Below are 22,553 nucleotides of genomic sequence, written 5' to 3'. Positions count from 1 at the left end.
CTATGTTATGACTGCCACTTGGCCAAAAGGGTTTGACAGATGCAATCAACTATAAAATTTACACTGATTTCAGAGCTGTTTACAATTAGAAAACAACTGCATCTTAGAATTGATTATATATGGCATACTATTTGCCAAATACACTCGAGACAATTTCTATACAAAAAGTTTATTTTTACATGTAGTCCACATTATCTTGTAGTGTTTCAGTATTCTCACCTCCCTCGCTTTTCTGGTAGTCTTCTTAAATATAAGGTTTAGTTTTTCAGTGCACCCCTCCAAATACTGGCCATAGAATTCTATTTACAAATGAGTCCAAATTGGATGTCTTTCTAATTCATAATTTCTGAAGTTAATGTCTAATATATTGGGGAAATGTTGAATTAAGCAAAGTTAGCAGGATTCTTTAATACAACTTTCTCAGATTCTTTAATATATTGATGTACATTGTGATGGTTGAACAGTGGCAAATTATGTAGCAATTCTGAAAATTATTTGTCATACAAACTTTTTAAACACGATATGTTAAGAGACTTGTGTTTTGAGGAACATCTTTTTGAAAACGACTTTTACAGTTTTGAAAAAGACTTTTACATATATTTTACACATGATTTCTTTTTAATTTCTTGTGTTTGCGCTATGGCATTCTAAATTTCTGGAAACTTAGAGTCAAATAAAATTTCAATACAGGTAATTCCATATTTATACAGGATTAACAGAAAAAGAGATGGTCATAATGTTAATTTTTAAGACAATGAAATAACATGTAAGAACAAACATATTTGCCCTTGATTATACAGTGTAGTTACTACATTTCTATCACATACATTTGTTGGTGTTGTGAAATGACCTAAACCAATGTGACCATGAGGCAAATGCTAGGCTTTGGGGGTAAATATTGGTAATTTCTGACAGTCAAGGTAGATTATGGCTAAATGTTCTCTCTCCCAAAACTTTACTACCAGTTGTTACATTACAATGAGAGCACATATGCCACACATATAAATATTATTAGTAAACAAGGATAAAAGAATCAATGGTTCTTACAGCTGCTCTGGCACCTGGGAGCAAGTTTAAGTCTGCTTAGGCACTTGAACCAGCACCTGGCATGATAGGTTCATGGTGAGGTGAACATGGTGGTATCCTGGCAGTAGGACCAGGTGGCTTTCTAAGTGGGTTGAGAGACAAGGTATTCTGTGAAGTGAGGGATACAGGTCCAACTGGGCTCCACACCAAGGGCATCCAACTGTTGACTGTGTTGATTCCTATACCTCATGCAGCCAATAGCAGCAAGCTTGACTTCTTACCAACCACATATATTAACACCATTCATTACACTGATGAACAATCACATCTAGTATTGCTTATATAAATTAACAGTCATCTTGTATATATTTAGATAAAGATATATGAAGTACTAAGCACTCAACTCCTAGAGTGTTGATTTTGAACCAAGTTTTTTTTTTAACACATTTTATATTGGATCTAACTTATACACACACACATCTATGTCACATTCTTAACATTCAAGTATTTTTAAAGTGAATGTCCATTTTGACAATGTAAAACTTTGCCATATTAAACAGAATACAGCCAAAGGAATTTTAAATGTATGGTAATTTGGCACAATGATTACAGGTTTCAATTAGTAGAAAATTCTATAAATATCCATGAGTCCAAAAGAGATATATGAGGCTGTTTATAAGATACACACACACACACACACACACACACACGTATATATAGATGTAACTGTTTACATGCCATATATATATCTATATCTATATATAATACAAGGATGTTTTAAGCCTTAAATAATCCTCAAATTACCATGTTGAATTTTTGGTTCCTCTTTTTTTCTGCATTTAAAAAAAATCCTCCCTTACTCTAAATTCTCCCTTATTATTCTTTATGCTCCACCCTCTAGTTTACTACTTACTGGAGAAACCAGCTATTAAAGTTGATTAAAATTATGTACAAAATGACAAAGCTGACTCTGAATTAGGGCTTAAAGGTTTTCCACAGAATGAAGTATACAGACTTTCCACAATGATCTTTGGAACATCTAGTTTGGCTGCTCAGAAAATGCTCCTCAGTTTTGCTATAGTCCTTTGGATTGCTGAATAAGTTATTTTCGAGACAATATTTTTAAAATTATACCAGATTTCATCAGACTTAGTTTTTTCATTTTTCTGTAGTTACGTTAAATCTCAAAAATCGTACAACTTTCCTGAGATTTTTAAAATCAATATTCTGTTAGAAAAACAATTATAACTTTACTGCATTAGGTAAAATTATACTTACTGTTATAACACTGTTGAAGATGTTGGCCATATTAACAGAATAATAATTCATATATTTTTCTATTCTCAATATAAAATCATCCTTGTATATGCTGCGGACCATATTAAGAATGTTGCCAGGCTGTAATAAATTCTTACTACACTTCTAATAACTAAAACGCTTGAAAAGAATCTGAAATAGAACTACTCCAAATTCCCGGTTGTATTGTATATGATATGATTATTGTTCAAAAACTAAATCTTGGGGAGATACGGTTATAGAATCACAAAATCCTACAATTGGCAAAAACTTTTATGGCCTTCCAAAACTTCCCCTCAATAAACGTACTTCATTTTCAAAACTCCTGATATTTATGCCATTCCCAATGTAATGCTTTTAATAGTTAAAGAATATCCTCTGTCTTAAGACACAATTTATTTCATTGTTAAACTGCTCAATTCGTTTTTTTATAGAGTCTATTAATTTGAATATGTCTTCTAATAAATCCCTTCCATTAGTTCCATATACATTATAGAGGAGGAACAGTTTATTTATTCTTCCATATGATAGATCTTCATATTTTCAAGTATTTAAAGATAATTTCTATGTCTCTTTGTACCCGTTACCCCCACCCCAAATCTCCTACTCCCACTCATCTCAAACCTCTATCTTCATAGTTCGTAAGATATGGTTTCCACATAGATAATTCACTATTCTTATAGCTTTAACGTATGTATATTAGTGTTTCTACATCTTTCTTTCTGTAGGGCACCTAAACATATTTAAAAGATGAGCCATTTAAGAAACTATAGTTTAAGAAACTAAGACAGAAATTTTACCCTCATTACTTTGAAATAATCTGCTTCTTTTCTATGGTTTTCCACATCCTTTCTTTGTTATTTTTAATTGTTTTCTACTTTGTCCAGTCCTTTCTTGAGATCTCATCTCATTGATTGTTCCACATGAAATCATAAGCTTGCTTATTTCTTTCATTCTTTCTGAGAGGTTTAGCGTTTCCTGCCTCCGAAATGGCCAAAAAACCAGTTCGAATTGGAGGTGGCTCTTCATAGCTTTGAAACTGCTCTATGCTCAAACATAAAAAGTATAATCATGAAACTTATGTCGTGATCTTTCAAAGATACCACATTATTTTACACTTCAGGGTTATTTTAATTAGTCAATCAGTATGTGATGCTGAAAAATACTCAGAAGATTATGCTGATGTGACTAGTCAATGTTGTCTAGTCTTGATCAGAATCTCCCTTTTGGGGCAAGTTTAAAATTTTCAAATGAGAGACTTTCACAGTCTACTCAGGAAACAAATTGTTCGTGGCACACACACACATACACACACACACACACACCTCACAGAGTAATTAGAGTTGGTATGAAATGATGTAATTTATTTCTATCACAAGTTAGCTTATTAAAAGTAAACTGCATTATTCATTTGACACAACACATTCAATATTATTTTTCTCTTCCATAGTGCAATTTGTTTTGTTTTCATAGACTGGATATAAGGAGGGAAGTACTGAATGATAACAAAGACTTTAGAACACAAAAGATGGCCTCAACCCCAATCAATTAAAAGCAATTTTTTATGAAGGAAAATACATATCAGAAGAGTAAAATTAGTGGTAGAGAAAAAAGAATCAGATAATTATTAAAGTTTAAATATTCCCTCAAGTTTTAAATATTATCTTACAAATAAGACAATAAATTCAACATTGGCTCCACTCCAAAGGAGAATAAGTGTGTAATGTAGAATTTCAAGGGACATAAATATAAGAAAAGATTTTCTTTATAGAATTAAAATTCTCACACATAGAAAGGAACATCTAAAGACTCAAAAAACAATTTCTTGCTTAAAAAACAGCAAAGTAAGAGGAGAACTTGAAGTGTGAGAGTAACTGGATATAAGCCAATCTCATAAAGAGTGCAGAATTCTAAAGGAGACTGGCAGACATCCCAGATCAATTAAGGAAGAAATCCTGCAGAATAGGCACATATCCATCTTTGAAACTTTAAGTTTAGATAATGCAGCTCAAAGATGGGTAAATGGAAATAAAAAATGCAACTAAGCTGAAGAAAAATTATAGATATACAGATTTTTTTTCATGCCAAACTTATAACTAAGTAACTCATCCTGTTAAACTGAATTACTAATTAATTCCATGAAGTGAAGGAAAACTAATGCTTGACAGAACAGATTATCTGACTGACAAATTGGACCTATTTCTTGTCAAAAGGTCAACCTGATAGCCTCAACTACAACCAATATTTAATGATTAAATCTAGAAGTTACTGCTCAAAATGTGTCAGCACTGTAACTGGATAAATTGTATTTAACATTGCTATATAGGATGCTAGAAATATGTGGTGGTTGTATATATACATTAATGAAATATACTATGTATATAAGCCACAGAGAGTAATATAAAGTGAAAACACCTGGACTTATGATTGTATTGACATGCCCTATGGTACTGTTCTTCAAGTTAAGACTCGGAAATAGAAATAGGCCTGCATTTGAGTCTATCAAGCAGGAAGAAACATCACTACTAATTGTCTTGTATTTTTATGGTAGACATTTAGTGTGTGCCACTAAAATTACAGTTTTAAAGAAAAATATCTAATAATAAGAAACTCAGTGTCATGGCCTGTTGAGGAAAGGCAATACTCAGGTCATGGATTTCTTCACCAATAATTAGGAAGAGTCAATTAATGCTGCTTTGAAATAAATAATAAGTTTCAGTACCCCCAAAAGACTTAATTTCAGAGTCATTTTCTGCCTCTTTACACACAGAGAATGTAATGCTTTTAAGAAAAGATCTTACAAAGTATTTTAGAACTGTTTTATGATTAATAATAATAATAAAAGGACAAATGTGATACATGTCGCAAAAAAAGTCAGTTAAAACACAAAAGAGTTTTACAAAAGGGTAACTTTGTTCATAGAAAAGCATTGGGTGGCTTGGATAAGGGTATGCTACTTACAGATGACTCAATGTAGTTTAATAATGTATTTTACACATGCTTGTTACAAAACATTCTGTAACTATGCTGTTATTGTAGGCTGTTAAAGTCATTTGGCACTATTGAGAAAAATTAACATAGTTTGTCATTTTATGAATATTTAATTTCATTCTTTAGCACCCAGTATATTTATACATTATCTTCTTTAATGTTGAAAATAAGCAAAATTTAATCCAGATCTTCCTAGCCAAATCATTGGTCAAAATCATTTTACTAATTATCTTAAATCATCAATGTTGTCTTTTTTCTAAACTTACATCATAATTTTAATCAACTGTATTTCATTTATTTAGTTAATTCTGCCACAAAAAAGTTCTCATCTAGATTTTTATACATTTGAATAATTGATTCTTTAAAAGAAAATACAAGCTTGAAAGCAAAAGTAACTATTAATATTAGATGGAAAACTAACATTTTGGCTTCATTTAGGTATATATTAGTTAATAACATTTCAAAACATCACCTTATTAAAATTTGTAGAAACATTTAATTCTCATATATAACCAAACTTTCTAACAACTATTTGAAATGTACTTGAGCATGACAAGCTACACGTTTATCACATGGTAAAAAATTATGAGTGAAATCAAGATTTATATAAAACAAAATAGTCAGAATTCTGAAAGAATTATTGAAGGTGATCTAGCATAACACTCCCATTTTACAAGGAGGTATTAAAGTCCCATGAAAGTTCAATATTTACTAAGCTCAACAGTCTACTGGTAGAGCAAAAATTAGAATGTCATTTCATAGTGCTTTGTTCTCTCTGAGATCTAGTGAGTGCAGGATGAACAACAGAGGAATGTCCTTTTTGAATGGAGTAGCCGTCAAAAAATAACTACTATTGTCAAAATAAAGTTACAAGTTAAAGACTGGTAGAAGTTTAGTTAAAAAAATAGCACTGGGGTGAGCCACTTGCAGAGATGAGAAGACTACAAACATCATGCCACATTTCATTTCTTTTCCACTGGGGCTTTCATTGAGTAGTGAAACAAGCCAAGGATATTTGAAAATGTAATGGAAAACACTACTCTTGTGTCCTATTAATGAAATGAAAACAGCACATGATAAAAACAGTGTCACATACTAATCTACTCTTTATCAAGTCCTCATTACCAGAATATTTGTTCGAAATAAATGCCATTATACACGGACCTATTAAAAGTTGATCTCATGTTTTTAAAAATTCTTCTACGCAATAGATTTACTTTTGTTTTAGTTATATGAATGTCATTGAACAATGGCTAAATATAGAATAATTGACTTATGTTAGTCTGAATAGTAATAAATATTTATAAATCTGACTTCATTTTGTTGGCTCATGTTCTTCTAACTGACCTATAAGCATTCAAAATGTAGTGGTAAATTCACTATTTTGGTGAGTCTGAGATACATGTAAAAAATAAATTGAAACAATCTTCTATCTTTGTACCAGACCTTTCTCACTAAAAGAATATTTTTATTAAATAATATTCTGTGTACAATGATACCTCAGTTGATATGATCAAACTAATTAGTAAGAATTAATTATTAGATATTTTAAAACCAGGTCCAGAATAATTGGTTGGGTTCAGGTGCCTAATTTGTGTTTTATTGTTGATTTTGGATATTTACTGACATTAAAGATCAAGAACATGTTGATTATATGTGATATCCCTTACTATTCTTACCTAAAATATTTGAAATTATGAATTCACAATGCCTTGGGAGCTCAAAGTATTAGTATCTTGGAAAACACTACATTGAATATTTAAAATTCATTATTTTATATAAGATATTAAGACACAATTTTAGCATTTTGATACTTGTAATAAGTCAGTATCTTGATACATGTCATAATTACATAATTATAAGTCATTTGCAAATTTTCTCCGTTTTTCTATAGTCTCATATCAGAAGCTAAGTATGAAATTGAATGAGCATTTCCAACCACTTCTAAAAAACGATATCACATATTTCAATTAGTCCCTACTCCTATCCCATCTATCTCTACCCCTTTTCACTTATTAACACAGTTACATACTTACTTGTTTATGTTCCCTTTCCTCTATTATAATGTAAACTCAAAGAGATTAGGAACTTTATTTCTTGTTCACAATTTAATCCCCAAGATTTTTAGACCAGGGCATAACACAAGGGGAAAAACTAATGCTTAATTAATACCTGTTGAATGAATAAATGATCCTTAGTGTCTCTCCCAGGGTTTCACTATATCCTGAAACAATGTAATTAGATCTTTTTTTCCAGGGGCTTTCAAACTTTTTTGATCATGCCCCAAAGAAATAACTATTATATTGTAGTGTTCGTGTATCTGAAACAAAATATTCATAAAACAATATTATTATCTCCAATGAACCCTGATAATTAAATTTCTAAACTATTGTATTCCAATCCATTTATTTAAACAATTATTCTGGTATTGAAGTTGATTTCATGGCCCACAAACCTAAATTTTGTAAAATACCATTTTAAGCCAAAAAGCCAATAGAGATGAAACATGTTGATCTTTGACTATGTTGAAGGGACACATGAACCCTCGTCCTTGTTGGATGGTATAATAACTTGACAAGGCTACCTTTTCCAGAACTTCCTGCCCTTCTCAGCCACTTAAAGTTCCCTATGTATGGATATCACTTACCATATGCCAGACTTTCAGGAGCTGGAAGGCCTGAAAAAGACTGAAAATTTTCTCTTCTAGATCTCATCAGCGGAAAATTGAGAAATCATATAAATTTGGATTTGGATTCAGCTACAAACAAAACAATATGCTAAACATTTTTTCACATCATTCTCACCACAACCATACAAATTAACAATTGCTACTCTTGCAAATAAATAAACTGAGTTTCGAAAGATCAGATGATTTGCTCAAGGGGACAAAGCCAGTGAGCAGCGAGTCTGGACTCATTCCTTTTCCAAATACAGTCCCCTCCCATGGGCAGACAGACACACGATGTAAACCAGAGGCAGCCCCTTTCAACTGCTGAGCTTCCAGACGCAGAGTAGGGAGAATCCCAAAAGCCTCAACGACCCATGCCTCTTCCTATGGACTGTGAAGGCAAGTGAGCACAGTGTTCTGCAACTTCTTCCCCTTGCTCAGTCTGTTCCTGCTCAACCCCACTCTGTCCTGTTGCCCTTTCCTGTGGAAGGGCTGGAGCTAGTGCATATAAAAACGCTCGTGAAGACTTCTTGCCCTTATTGTACACTGCACCACATGGCCCATCACGTCTACAGCCCTGTGTGATAGGTGGTTCATCTTGCTGCACCCTAGAAAAGGCATTTTGGTGTCCAATACTCTCTGGTACCAGGATGCCCTGACTCATCCTGGAGTTCGCGAAAAGTGAAAGCTACGCCATCCCTCCATCAGTCTCGACCTTTTCTCGGGCATTTTTGATAGATGGAGGGACTCAAGAGTAGCTTTCTCTGGGTGATATACTTTTATTTTTATTTTATTCCCTGAAAAGGTACCCTTGACTCACCCAAAGGTCACACTGATGGGAGCTCAAAGAAAAGCTCGGAATTAAGCTCCTTTGTGATTGTATTTTTTCACTATAAACAGTGAAATTTTAACTAAGTAGAGTCTCATTTTGGTTATTGTAAAATAAACACTCCCAACTCCAGTCCCTGTCCCCACATCCCACCACCATCAAGGCGGAGAGCTGTGGCTTGTGGGTGGATGTGCCAGTCACCTCTGAAGAAGTGCTGGGATTCTACCCTCTCCCACTTCCTCCTGGCGAGTTTGTTTCCTGAGCCCTTACAGGTCCAACCAGGAGGGTAAAGCCCAGGGCGGTGGGAAGAGTCCCGGCCGGCGATTAAACTGGGCATGCTCAGTGGCAGAGCAGGTTTAGGCCCGGCCTGGGAAACTGGGGAGCTGAGGTGCTCGCGCCGCCGCTCTGAGCCCGAGTGCGCGCCTCTCAGGGGCCGCGGCCGGGGCTGGAGAACGCTGCTGCTCCGCTCGCCTGCCCCGCTAGATTCGGCGCTGCCCGCCCCCTGCAGCCTGTGCTGCAGCTGCCGGCCACCGGAGGGGGCGAACAAACAAACGTCAACCTGTTGTTTGTCCCGTCACCATTTATCAGCTCAGCACCACAAGGAAGTGCGGCACCCACACGCGCTCGGAAAGTTCAGCATGCAGGAAGTTTGGGGAGAGCTCGGCGATTAGCACAGCGACCCGGGCCAGCGCAGGGCGAGCGCAGGCGGCGAGAGCGCAGGGCGGCGCGGCGTCGGTCCCGGGAGCAGAACCCGGCTTTTTCTTGGAGCGACGCTGTCTCTAGTCGCTGATCCCAAATGCACCGGCTCATCTTTGTCTACACTCTAATCTGCGCAAACTTTTGCAGCTGTCGGGACACTTCTGCAACCCCGCAGAGCGCATCCATCAAAGCTTTGCGCAACGCCAACCTCAGGCGAGATGGTAAGAGACTCATTTTATTTTTTAACTGAAAAAAAAATCATGTTTGCTATTGTTATTGTTCTTTCTATGTTTTTCCCCTTTCTTTTTGAATCTTGAATGTGAACTCGGGCTGAATGCATTGTTTGGGGAGGGAGGTCTCCTGCCTGTATCCAGTCCTGAGAGAGCTCCATTTCCGGAATGGGACTGAGAGGTGTGGGACGCGTGCTGATGGGGATAGGATAAGCCAGGTGGCTCACCTTGCTGCACCCTAGAGAAGTCATTTTGGTGTCCAAGCCTCTGGTACCAGGATGCGGTGCCTCATCCCGGAGTTGGCGAAAGTTGCAAGCTGCGCCGCCCCTTGGTCAGACTCAACCTTTCTTAGGCAATTTTGATAGGTGGAAGGAGTCAAGAGTAGCTTTCCCTGGGTGATAGACGTTTATTTAAATTTTATTTATTTATTTATTTATTTTTACGAGTGAGAGGAGAAATCGTGCGTTTCAATCTAGCAGTTATATCTGGAACAGTGACAATTTACTATTTATTTTCGGGAAATGGCAGTGTGCAGCCTATTGCCCTTTAGGTCCCCTAAGTGACTTTCCTATTGAAGTTCACCCTGACTCAGAAGCTCAGAGTGTAGGAGACCAAGGCTTCTGGGGTTTCATCAGTACCACAGGGGCACCAGGCTTCTGCTGCTAGTTTCCTTGCAGAAGCGGCTTCCAATTATCTACAAGGAGCACAGCTCCTGAAACAGCTGTCCTAAGCAAGGTCCCAAGCCAGCTTGTTTGTTTTCCTTTACTCTAGAGGACACCTGGGTCACTGGTTCCAGAGACCCTAAGCTGAGTTTATTTACTTTCTGGGGCCTCCACCTAAAACTGTAGCTGATGTTCCCAGCAAATTTTAGCTGTTCTGCCATGTACCTGAACTGACCCATAGGCTTTTGGATCTTGTTTTTTCCTACATCAGTATCTTTCTCTCCTGCTTGCTTAAAGTACTAACACATCTCCCAAGGAGACCATCAAGCAATTGTTGATGGCTTCACAGTTTCAGCTGACAGTATTTGACTGTCTTGGTAAATTCCTATTAGCCATCTTATCAGTTTCTTTCTTGGTATGTCCTTAATTTGGAATTTACTAAATGACTTTTGGACTTTGCAGGGAAACCAAAATTTCATTATGTTATCTGATGATGAGTAGACTATGGATATCAGTGTACTCGTCACCTGAAGTGGTGTAGATTTGTAGCAGGGGAAGCCACAGAGTCATCTTACTTTTTCATAGCGTTTTTATGTAAAAGATTCCAGCCGTGCATTTTTGGTAACTCTCTGTCTTAGTTAAAAGCACGTAATTTATTTATTTATTTATTTTTTTACTACACTTAAGGATTAGGCCCAACACCAAACTGTGTGGTTTTTTGTCTTTACTCTTTAATGTTTCCACTAGGGACAGATCTTGTAGGTTTGTTATTAGTTGCACTTTATATGTCCTTTTAGCTACATAGAGTAAAATTCCACTTGTAATTTGCATGACTTCATAGCCATAATTTTGTAATCCTCACCCTCCCAAGTATCAGTTACAAGAAGTCAAGGACAGAAAATGAAAAGCATGTAACCATTGCCCATTAACCCAAGATTCTGACTAAAACCAAGTTATGTAGCTCAGCAGGTTTTTTTTTTTTTGAAAGAGAATAATCTCATTTTAGTTTCCATTGTTAAAACTCTATACATCTCCATACATCTGTTCAGTCTATATGGGAAATGCTATGTTTCATGAAAGCTTTAAAAACTACCCTGGATTTCTCATTTCTTCATATTTCAGTTAAAACTGTTTTGCAGTTACTTTAACAGTACACACACACACACACACACACACACACACTCTCTTTGATTAGTTCTGATTGCTCAATACTTTCCTCAATGTCAATGTCATCTTACAAGCAAGACTAGGAAGGAGAAAAACGTAGTTACACATTAAAATTTGTTTTATATAGAGTAAAAAATGTTAATATTCATAATGGATTGTTAGTTTAGAAAATTTTCAAATGGCAGCTTTTTCCTAAATGAGCATGCATTCTTCAAGTGGGGCAATATTGTCCCCAATGGGGTGCAATTAGATCTTAGAGGGTGAACACAATCTTAGATATTGCAACGGTCTGTGTTCCTTCAAAGGGCTAGCAGATATAAATAGATATACATTTCTGTGGTATTACCATTCACAAGGAGGGAGAGTGATCAGAAAAGAAGTCTAAAAAGAGTCTTTAAGGGATGGAGGTTAGCAATAGTGAAAAAATGGTTGAGAAACATTGGCATAGAGTTTTGGTGAAAGAGTAAGAATAATGGGGCTATGAAAAATTCTAGACAACACTTGGGAAATCTTAATGGCCATAGCTGACAGAGAGAAAGTATAACTTATTAAATTAAAACCTTGTTCTGATTCCAGACATTGTCAACCTGCTCTCCCAAATTTTTCTAATGACTCATTGAAGACGACAATATTCTTGCTCATTTGACTATCAGATTAAGACATGATAAAAGCTTGAGGAGGACATGAACATGGAATATAATCAGGAGAAAAATAGAAAATGAAAGTTTCTAAACATTAATTTAGGGTCTTTAGAAGACCTGGCTCTCAGATTGCAAATTATAGGAAATCACAACAAAAAATTAGAAGTGACCTTTGAATAGGAGTTTTAGAAACCATTACCTGATGATAGACATACTTGAAGGCTTTTCATTTGTTCCTGCTGGACTTGTTAGTTGCTGCTTAATGTTGGGATGAAGAAAGGAGCAAAAAAGCCGGGTGTCCTGTTCAGGGCATGAGGTGTGTTTTATCCTGTCCAGCCTAATACAGTAAAACCCCACAACTTCTTGATATACTATGCCTAATAGCTCCAGATACCTGGAGTAGCTAAGAAATGATGTGGAAATACATAATGTTAGGGTTGTCGAATGATAGTCTGCTTCTACCCATTATAAGAAGCTGATCTGCTGCTGTGTCCTGGCCTTCCGGAACTCTCCATCATAGGGTATTCTTGTTCTGAAGGTATATCTGCAGAGCCTTTCTACCTGTAGAATGGCTAAATGTGGCCCAATGAAGGAGGGTAGTTGAATTTGTTGCCCGTCTCCAGGAGAACATGAGGCTCTATAACTAAGAAAGATTAAACTATAATAATTTACAGTACTTAATAGAATGTTTACATTTCCTTATATCGTATTTATTATTCTCGCTCAAACTGATTTACTTTTGATACCCATTTCTGCCTCTAGTCACAAAGAAAATCTTAATTTAGCAGTAGCATCTATGTATTCTAATTTTAGTGCCTACACAGTTGGTGCTTTTGTAATAATAACTGGCCAAAACTAAGTGTTGCTCAGTGTGCAGATTAAGAAGTGTAAAGGTAGCAATTAACTGCAATATTACTTACTTATTTTAAAATCTAACTAGATGGAACTTCCTGCCTAGGGGCTTTAGAATACAGATGCATTCTTCATTTCATTTTCTTGACCTTTTGTTGCGTGTAGAAAGTACAGGTGTTGGTGGTAAACAATTCTGAAATTAGTTCTCTTTGGTTAGTATAATAGTATTGAATCATCTGTTACATTATCATTATCTAGTGATAGGCCTGCAGTTCTAGTAATTGTGCTGCCTTAGATTTTAAAGTAGTGAAGCTTGTTTCTTAATGTGGTTTCTATTGTCATCGTTGATGATAGCACACTGACTTAAGTACAAAGATCAGAGCTTAAAGGGAAGGCAACACAACAGAGAACAATGTCAATAAATTATTTTTAAAGAGTCTGAAAGCAAAGAATCTCTTCTGTGTATTTTTTGTTCAGCTCTAAGGATATTAAAGTCTATAATCTTGTAAAGCATAGTGGTGATTACATATTTTAAATGTAACCTGGCATTGACTTGCCACCATGGATAATATCATTTTATAGAAACTTTTTTAAAGAGCAGGGTTTAGCCAGGTGTCTGTGTACTATGTAGTGGAGGATGCTACTAGGTTGTGAGTGACATTAATGACCATAATGAGTTTATTAAATGACAGTGATTTTTGCTACAGGATTTTCCCTTTCAGTGAATGAAAGCAAAACTGTATTGTTTCAGAACAAAAGAGTCAAACAATGGAGCCCAGCCCACAGAGTCACTGATCTCTAATAATAAGCATAGTTATTATTACTAGTAATATAAACTAGTAATAAGCATAAGCTTGATGTCACGCAGAACTCTGAGCATATGTGGTCTCACAGCCCTATCACTCTAAGAGTCTAGAAGGATATGCATATTTCTGTCTCTGTCCTTAAGAGCTGAGTCATAATGTAAATTATCTTCCTTCTGGAAATTACTCTTGAACTTTCTATGTTGAAGTCAGGTTAGTGTAAAAAGGCAGTTCTGGAACACCTTAATAAAATCCTTCCCTTTATTAAAATAGGAAAATCTTTTAGATGGATGAACCAGGTGTAGAATGTGTCTACCTCATCTGCGCCATGCCATTCAGGGAATACATTGATCTTTCTAAAAGGATTAAGATGACTTGAGAGTGAAGGTGAGTTAGTGTCTGAGCTACCTAGCCTCTTTCAAGGCTCTCTCTTTTCAGATCATTCTTTACTTGATCTTAACTGCCTTCTAAAGATGAAAGGTAGCAGACAAATAGTTTTTTTTTTTTTTTTTTTTTGAGATGGAGTCTGCCTCTTGTCACCCAGGCTAGCGTGCAGTGGCATGATCTCGGCTCACTGCAACCTCCGCCTCCCAGGTTCAAGCGATTCTCCTGCCTCAGCCTCCCGAGTAGCTGGGACTACAGGCGCCTACCACCGCCTCGGGCTAATTTTTGTAATTTTAGTGGAGACGGGGTTTCACCATCTTGGTAAGGCTGGTCTTGAACTCCTGACCTCGTGATCCACCCGCCTCGGTCTCCCAAAGTGCTGGGATTACAGGCTTGAGCCACCGCGCCCTGCCAAATAGTTCTTTATCATAACTTCTACTGCTAACCCCTGCTATAACTATTATTCATGTATTCAATGAAGGCTGAAGTGCTGTGGCGAGATCTCGGCTAACTGAAAGCTCCACCTCCCGGTTCACGCCATTCTCCTTCCTGAGCCTCCTGAGTAGCTGGGACCACAGGCGCCTGCCACCATGACCGGTTAATTTTTTTGTGTTTTTAGTAGAGACGGGGTTTCACCGTGTTAGCCAGGATGGTCTTGATCTCCTGACCTCGTGATCCGCTGGCCTCGGTCTCCCAAAGTGCTGGGATTACAGGCGTAAGCCAGTGCGCCCGGCCTTCGGTGATTATTTCTAACATCCCTAATGCCTCCTGTATATTGTGCTAAGTAACTGAGCATCTGGCACAATATGAATGAAACACACATGGTTCCTGACCTCTTGGAATGTATTGCCTAGTGGACAATATAGACAAACAATTGTCAGTTCCATTGTATTGTACATATCTTTCAGATGCATTCTGGAGAGTACCAGGATTCTCCAGAAGTGCCTTGGAGGTCAGTGCACAGCTACCAAGGAGGCTGAACACGTGTAGCTTCAGCTTCTCCACCCCTTCTTCAACAGAATAGCTCCACATGTATTATCACACTTCTTCTTCACATATGTGTGTTCATCATAAGAGTTTTACTTGAGAAAATGTATTTTGCAATTTAAGTGTGAAGTTCTAAAGAGTGTGATATGCGCTTTAATGGAGGAAATGCACTTGAGAGATAGGAATACACAAAGAGCACCTAATATAGACTTGAGGAATTGGGAAAGGCTTCCTAGAGGAAGTGGTGTCTGAACTGAGGCTGAAGTGTGTGCTGCTTTGCCTGTAAATGTAAGGCAAACATGATTTGAAGCCTTATGTGTTAGGACTCTTTAAAAAGAGTGTCATTTTATTATTTAGTTTTAACTGACAAATAAAGATTGTATAAATTTATCCTGTAGAGCATGTTGTTTTGAAATATCTATGCAGTATCCAATGACTGAATCAAGCTAATGACCATATGCATTACCTCATATATTTATCATATTTTTGTGATGATAACACTTAACACTTAAAGTCTGCTTCCTTATCAATTTTCAAGAAGACAATACATTGTGATTATTATAGTAATCATATTGTATATATTAGGATTCTTCATTTTTAAAATGTTAAAATCCAGCATGCCTTCTCCGGACTGAAGGAGTTCAGGGATGATTACTGGGTGGAAGCTGTGAGCAGGGGTTGACCGTGCTGCCTTGATTCTGGACAAGTCATTTCAGACATTGGGTGCAGTGAGAGGGAGAAGGGGGATAGAACAGCACTTGCCAAGATTTCCAGGTGTGAATATAGGTAAACAAGTGTCCACCAGTGAAAGGCATGGGGAGTAATGTTAAGGGAGCTTGGCCATTATGCTGAGAGCTGTGGTAAGCCATTGAAAGGTGTAATTTAGACAGAGACGTGGCCCATTCTGTGTTTGACTGCTGGGTGGAGTGTTCCTGAATAGTCCGCAAGGCCGAGGCTGTGATCAGGGCCAGTCTTCCTATATCCCTGCTGCCTGTGGCACATGAATACAGATGGAATCATTTCATTTTTAATATGATAGTGGGGGACATGAATGACTTTCTTAAACCCAAATCCCCAAATCCTTGGTGCCCTCATGATATCCCTGAGGTACCCCCCTCGCCCTGGTTGTCGCTCTGCGCTCAGCACAGCAGATATTATTTTGTAACTGTATCTGAGGTCTCAATAAGGTAATGTGAATTATGCAGGTAACCTGTCTAGTGTTTGACAACACTTTAAGTTTTTTCAAATAGCTACATTTCAGAATTAATGCAATTTAAAAGGGAGCATTTTTACACTTCTATGTGAGGGATGGTTTCAGCAAAAAGCTACAGGGGGTAATATATAGTATTACAGCAAAAAGGAAAGAATCCAAGACCAGAGGTGCAGCAGAAATGTTCTGCCTCCTCATACAGTATTTCAGAACCAAATGTAAATCAAAACTAAAGGCGGAAGCCCACAGGACAGCAAAGGGCACAAGTACACATACAGGAAGAAATAGTTTCTTCTGATGAGCCTTTTTTCTAGAGCAAGAATAAAGCATGCTTTGTTTCTTATAACTGTTGATAATGCACATGATAATATGTCTTTTCCTTCATCTTCCCTCTGGTATGCTGACATCTCTATATTAGCTTTAATATTGACAGATTAATACTGTGTGTTTTTTTGATTTGTGGGGTGTGCAGTTTAGTGGTTTTTATACAATTAGGAGGTGGAGAGGTCTGTGGAAGCATCATAGCCCAGGCATGGGAGCTGTCTTTCATTATGAGAAGTCATCTTTTCTCAGATTTTAGATTTTTTCCTTGAGCACTTTTTTGTAGAGTGTGTTCATGAAGACAGTTTTGGATGCAGTGCTTTGTCTATAAAAGTAAGCCAAACACGATTTGAAGCCTTATATGTTAGGATTCATTTTTAAAATTTTATTTTATTTTATTTTATCTATTTTTTGAGACAGAGTCTTGCTGTAGCTCCCAAGCTGGAGTTCAGTGGCATAATCAAGGCTTACTGCAGCTTCAACCTCCTGTGCTCACGCAATCCCACCACCTCACCCTTCCACAAGTAGCTGGGACGGCAGGCACATGCCACCATGCCTGGTCATATCTTATTATTAATTTATTTTTAATTGACAAATAAAAATTGTATATATATATCATGTACAACATGTTTTGAAATATGTATACAGTGTTGACTAAATCAAACTAATTAACATGCATTACCTCACATACTTACCTTTTTTGTGTGATGATAACTCTTAAAATCTACTGTTAGCAATTTTCAAGAATATAGTACATTGTTATTAACTGCAGTCCCTATGTTGTATATATTAGGATCCTGAATATTTAAGATTTGAAATGTAGCATGCCTTCTTTGGACTGAAGAGCTCAGAGATGTTGCTGGGTGTGAGCTGTGAAGCAGGGGTTGAATGTGCTGTGTTGGTTCTGAAAAAGTCTTTTCAGACCCAATCTGAGAAGATGCTGATAAGTCCTGCATTTCATTGAAACATTTAATAAGCAATGTAGCAACCACCTGCTTTTACAAAATGTAGCTGTTTAGCAGACTCAGCTGTGGAAAATGCAACCAAATGAACTAACCAATATGCAACAAATCCACTTAAAAGCTAAAATCAGTGTCACAGAATGTGTAAATGAGTTCATAAGGATCGTATGGTAGACACTAAAAGCCCATTTGTCTTTACTTTCCATATAATTACATCACCCTGGTTTATGTGGTTCTCATATCCACAGCAGAAGAGGAGTAGGGTATTAGAATAGATAAGAGAACTGGTTTGAGTTATTCACACTATTAGCACTGAGAAATGACAGCTAGTAGTTTTCCTGCCTCCTCTTATATTTCCAGGTCTTGAAAAGCATTCATGAGACCTAAGCAAGCCCAGCTGGCTGAGGCTTCTTATTAAATAAGGTGAAAATAGCTCCAATCTGTCTCCGTATATTGCCGGGGAATAACTATATTATAGCCCAGTAAAGTTATTGATTTTAAAAATAATGACCTTGAGCCATAAAGGAAAGTTCAGATTATATGTCTGATAGGTTTACCAGGTTCATAAACTGTAAATGGTATTGCCTTAAGTATGTATGTATTTCAACCAGAAATTGACAGCATTTACTACAGAAACCTTGAAGAAAATAATGGTTGTAGCCTGGATGACAATAAAGTATTATTATCATTCTTCTACTGATAACTGATAGATTTGTGTTAGTCAAGAGGGAGGTGAACAGGGATTTTATTGGCGCTTTGGATTAGACTCTGTTGGGTTCAGAATCCTTAATAACTTGGATGAAAACATAGAAAACACATCTATCAAACTTGCATATTTTCACTGCAAAGAATAGTTAATAGCTTGGAGCAGATGCAGAGGTTGGCAGACTTTTTTTGTAAAGGGCCAAATAGTAAATATTGTAGACTTTTCAGGCCATATGGTCTCTGTTACAACTACTCAACTCTACCATTATAGCATAAAAGCAGCCATAGAAACTGCAAAGTTAGACTCTGTTCTGGTCAGTCTGTGTCTGAATATGTTGTGCTCTTGGTACCTCTTTTTTGCACAATTCCACCTTTTTATAATTCCTTTAACCTAATTCCATAGCGTTTACTACTCTTCTATCTTTAAACTTTTCCTTCTTGTTGGCTCCATTCCCTCAGCCAACAGGTATGTTCTAGTTTCTTTGCACTGTCCCACAATACGCAAAAGTTGTTTTACTGTTTCTCTTCACTTTACCATCACAACTCAATGTCTCTTCCTCCTCTCCTCCCCTGTACCCATTGTGATTTGAAATCATCCCCACTGCTCCACGGAAACGCTCTGGGTGAAGTCACTGTGATTTATTGTTTCTTCAGGGATTAGCCCTTCTCTTCTTGAAGAATTCTCTTCCTTTGCCTTGACGCTGCCCATCGTTTGTCTTAACTACTCCTAAATGACAAATTTCAAATGGTGATAGAAATAAAGCCAAAACTAACGCAGGACACGTTTTAGGTTATTTGAAGAAGCAATATTAGAGAAAGCCTTAAAAAGCATGTTTTGTGTTTTACTCTTTCTCTGTTACCATGATGAATGATGAAGAAAGAAGGAAAAATTTTAGAATGTAATGGGGGATGGTGTTAATAGGAAAAGAAAGAACATTCAAAGATAAAACCAGTGTCATATTGTACCCTATCAATTTATACAACTATTAACATAACATTTTTGAGGATAAAACATATTTTTAAAATAAAGGGGTATTTATCACTATAAAATATGACATTGAACACATACATAGGTTTGTTTCCCTTATATTGTTGGATACCCTTTGTTTATTGTTTCCTCGACTGTCTCCTTGGCTGGGTCTTCCTGTCTGCCCTATAAATACTGGCACATTTTCTAGGGTTCAGACCTCAGATTTCTCTTCTCACTTTTCTCACTGCTTCTCTCTGGAGGATCGATCTTTATCTAGTGTCAATTGGTACTTGTGTGCAAATGACCCCCAAAAATATATTTTTAGCTTCTACCTTGTTACTGAGCCTTACCTGTCTTTTTATTTTGCTATTTGAGGTATACAATGAGTAATCACACTGGTAATTAAACTCTCCAACTCAGTAAATAATCATGTGAAGTAATTAGTTTGTAACATATTGGGTTATTCATCCAATGGTGAATTCCTTAATCATATTAATCCTTTTTGTTTTTGTTCTTCCAGACACATCACAATTGTTTTTGAATGAACTGTTGAGTCAATGTAAAGATCCTATATCACATTTTAGATAGAGGAATTGCACCACTCTGTGTAGCCTTCCCTGACTCCCAACCCTCCTCAGTTAAATTTTGCTACTCCTTTATTTATCCTGTATTTCTATCATAAGCCCTGCAATGTTACTCATTTATTTACATATCTGACATCTGCAGATATAGATTTACTAACTGTATTTAATACAGCTGAACATCCTCACTGTCCATTTCATTGGCTGGCACATTGGAGAAGCTCAATGAGGTCTGATGAATCTGTAAATCATCCAGTGAGTGTCCTTTTTAATGACAGATCTTTAGGCCACATGAGCCCTCTCACTGTCAGATTTTAAGCAAATGAGAGAGAGAGAGTGTTTAAATTCAGAATCTGGAGTGGCTGTCAGGTTTCTGCTTTAATTGTGTGGGTGGTTGCTGTATTGTTGAACAAGATAGGAAGTAACACAGGAAGAGCAGATAAGAGAAGGTCATAAAGATAGAAACTTAATTTGTGAACACTTTAAGCTTTAGGAGCTTGTGCAACATTGATGTGGAGAAACCTAGAGGCAGGAAGGTAAGATAGAAACATATTTGCCTGAAATGCATGCACAGTGAACTTGAAGTAAATGACTATATATTATAAAGTTTTTAAAATAATTAACATTTATGATTATGGGTGCATGATAATGTCTGATATTTCCTAAGTGCTTTTAACGTGGTTAAGTGCTTTAATATCTATTATGAACAGTGGTGTGAGTGAAGAATAGGTTATATGTTTCCAAAAGACTTTGTTGAAAACCCCAAATTACATATACTTTTAGACTGCCACCTTGGACATAGCATATTTTGGGTTAATTTTGGAGAATTATCAGTGAAATATGGAGAATTTTCAATTGTCTTTTAAAAAAAGCCAAACCAAAAACAAAAACAAAAAACACTAACCAGATAACACTGACTAGAATGAATCCTTTTTGTCATACCTTTCCAATATTAGTATTTGAGTACATTTACATAAAATTCCTGCTACTTAATAAAAGGGTTCAAAAAAGAGGTAAAAATAAATTAAGGATGAGGAAACAAGTCTTAAGAGTCAGTCTAGAAGATAGATGATAGAACACTAACAAAAAATTAATGCATCTTTGGTTTATAAATTTATAGAGAAATATGTTTACACTACATGTTATTTTACTGATGATAAAATAAGAATTGCTACTGAACAGGATATAAAAGTACATTTGCTGTAATAGAAATTTCATCAACAAAGTTTCTAAATATGTAATTAAAGGATTTGTAAACATTTGTTAATTAAAAAACAAGCTAGAATGAAGTGAGAGCAACTTGGAATTTAAGTACAGTATATGTTGGGATTATTTAAATACATCAGGAAGAACCACTGTGGCCTTATAGTTTTTATTCTTTAGTTTACTACTTTTCACCAAACCCAACTACAAAAAACATAACCACTTGTTAAGCAGAGACTACATGCAGTGCTCTGGATGAGGCACCATGGAGCAGAAATAGTCAAACCTAAGGCACAGTCTCTGCTCTGTTAAAACTTAACTTTGGCTGAAGAGAGAAAACACATATGTGAATAAACATAGGGCAAGGCAGTGCCATGTGAGTGCCACCGTTATGTGACCTGGGATTTTTTTTTTTTAAGATTCTCAACTTCGAGATTCCGTCTTGATGATCAAACTATAGCCACAAATTATCTATCCTAATATTTGGTTCAATAGAAAAAAATCTGTATTGGTCGAGTTGCTGTTGAGCACAATATTATTTGAAAATGAAAGGCCAACCCCTTATAATTAAGTTATTAAAACTTGAGCAGAAAAGCAACTTTTAATTTTAGGACCAGAAGTCTTACTTTCTTGATTGTTTTCTTTTGTGTGTTCGAATTTTAGGATACGTATTTCTGAACATAAAAGCAAATTTGTAGACTCAGTTACCCAGTATGCCTTAATTTTTTAATGTGTGATGTGCGAAATAATTATTTGACCACTGGATGGCAGTAAACAAAGACAACTTTGAGCATGATGTATTATTTTCCCTCTCTCTTTGTTGGGAATGTAAATTAAACTAACGAAGTCTCATATTTTCCACATACATTTTTTGAAAAATCTAAGAACAATGGGAACCTATCATTAATATACAACAATTCTATTCTGTATTATATCAATAAATTTTAAATATACTTAAAATATGTTGAAATAATTCAGATAACTGTTTTACTACTTTGTACTATTTACGCATCCAGCTTGCATGCGTGTGTAAAGTTCATGAAAATCCAATTTAGAAATATTGATTGATTGAAAATAATTTTTTGAACAAAATATGGATACAGGACCAGTTAGTTGGCCACTCTGACTTGCAGGACATTCCTAAAGATAAGAAAGAAGGAAAAGAGAAAAAGAAAGAAAAGAAAGGGAGAGTAAGAGGAGAAGAGAGAGAGAGAGCGAGCTTTCTATCAGTGTGGTAAACAGTAATCAATGATGGGTGTGCAACAGCTACATCATTGCTGCACATATAAAAATTGGGATGTATTCATCCAACTTTAATAAAAATTGCAAAATGTTATATAAAATGACCATTTTTAATTAATGCTTC

General features: G+C 36.2%; 1 protein-coding gene across 2 annotated transcripts in view; it reads left to right on the top strand.

Moving 5' to 3' along the window:
* Window positions 1–9,386: 9,386 nt before the first annotated feature.
* PDGFD (platelet derived growth factor D) overlaps window positions 9,387–22,553 on the top strand; it is a 256,959-nt gene continuing 243,792 nt past the window's right edge. For both annotated transcript variants that reach the window (NM_033135.4, NM_025208.5), the window contains exon 1: window positions 9,387–9,730. In NM_033135.4, coding sequence (NP_149126.1) covers window positions 9,607–9,730 — 124 coding nt within the window. In that variant the 5' untranslated portion in view covers window positions 9,387–9,606. The remainder of the gene's footprint in view (window positions 9,731–22,553) is intronic.

Source organism: Homo sapiens, chromosome 11, assembly GCF_000001405.40.
Source record: "Homo sapiens chromosome 11, GRCh38.p14 Primary Assembly".
Taxonomy (NCBI): Eukaryota; Metazoa; Chordata; class Mammalia; order Primates; family Hominidae; genus Homo; species Homo sapiens.
This window is presented reverse-complemented; position numbering and strand designations above follow the sequence as displayed.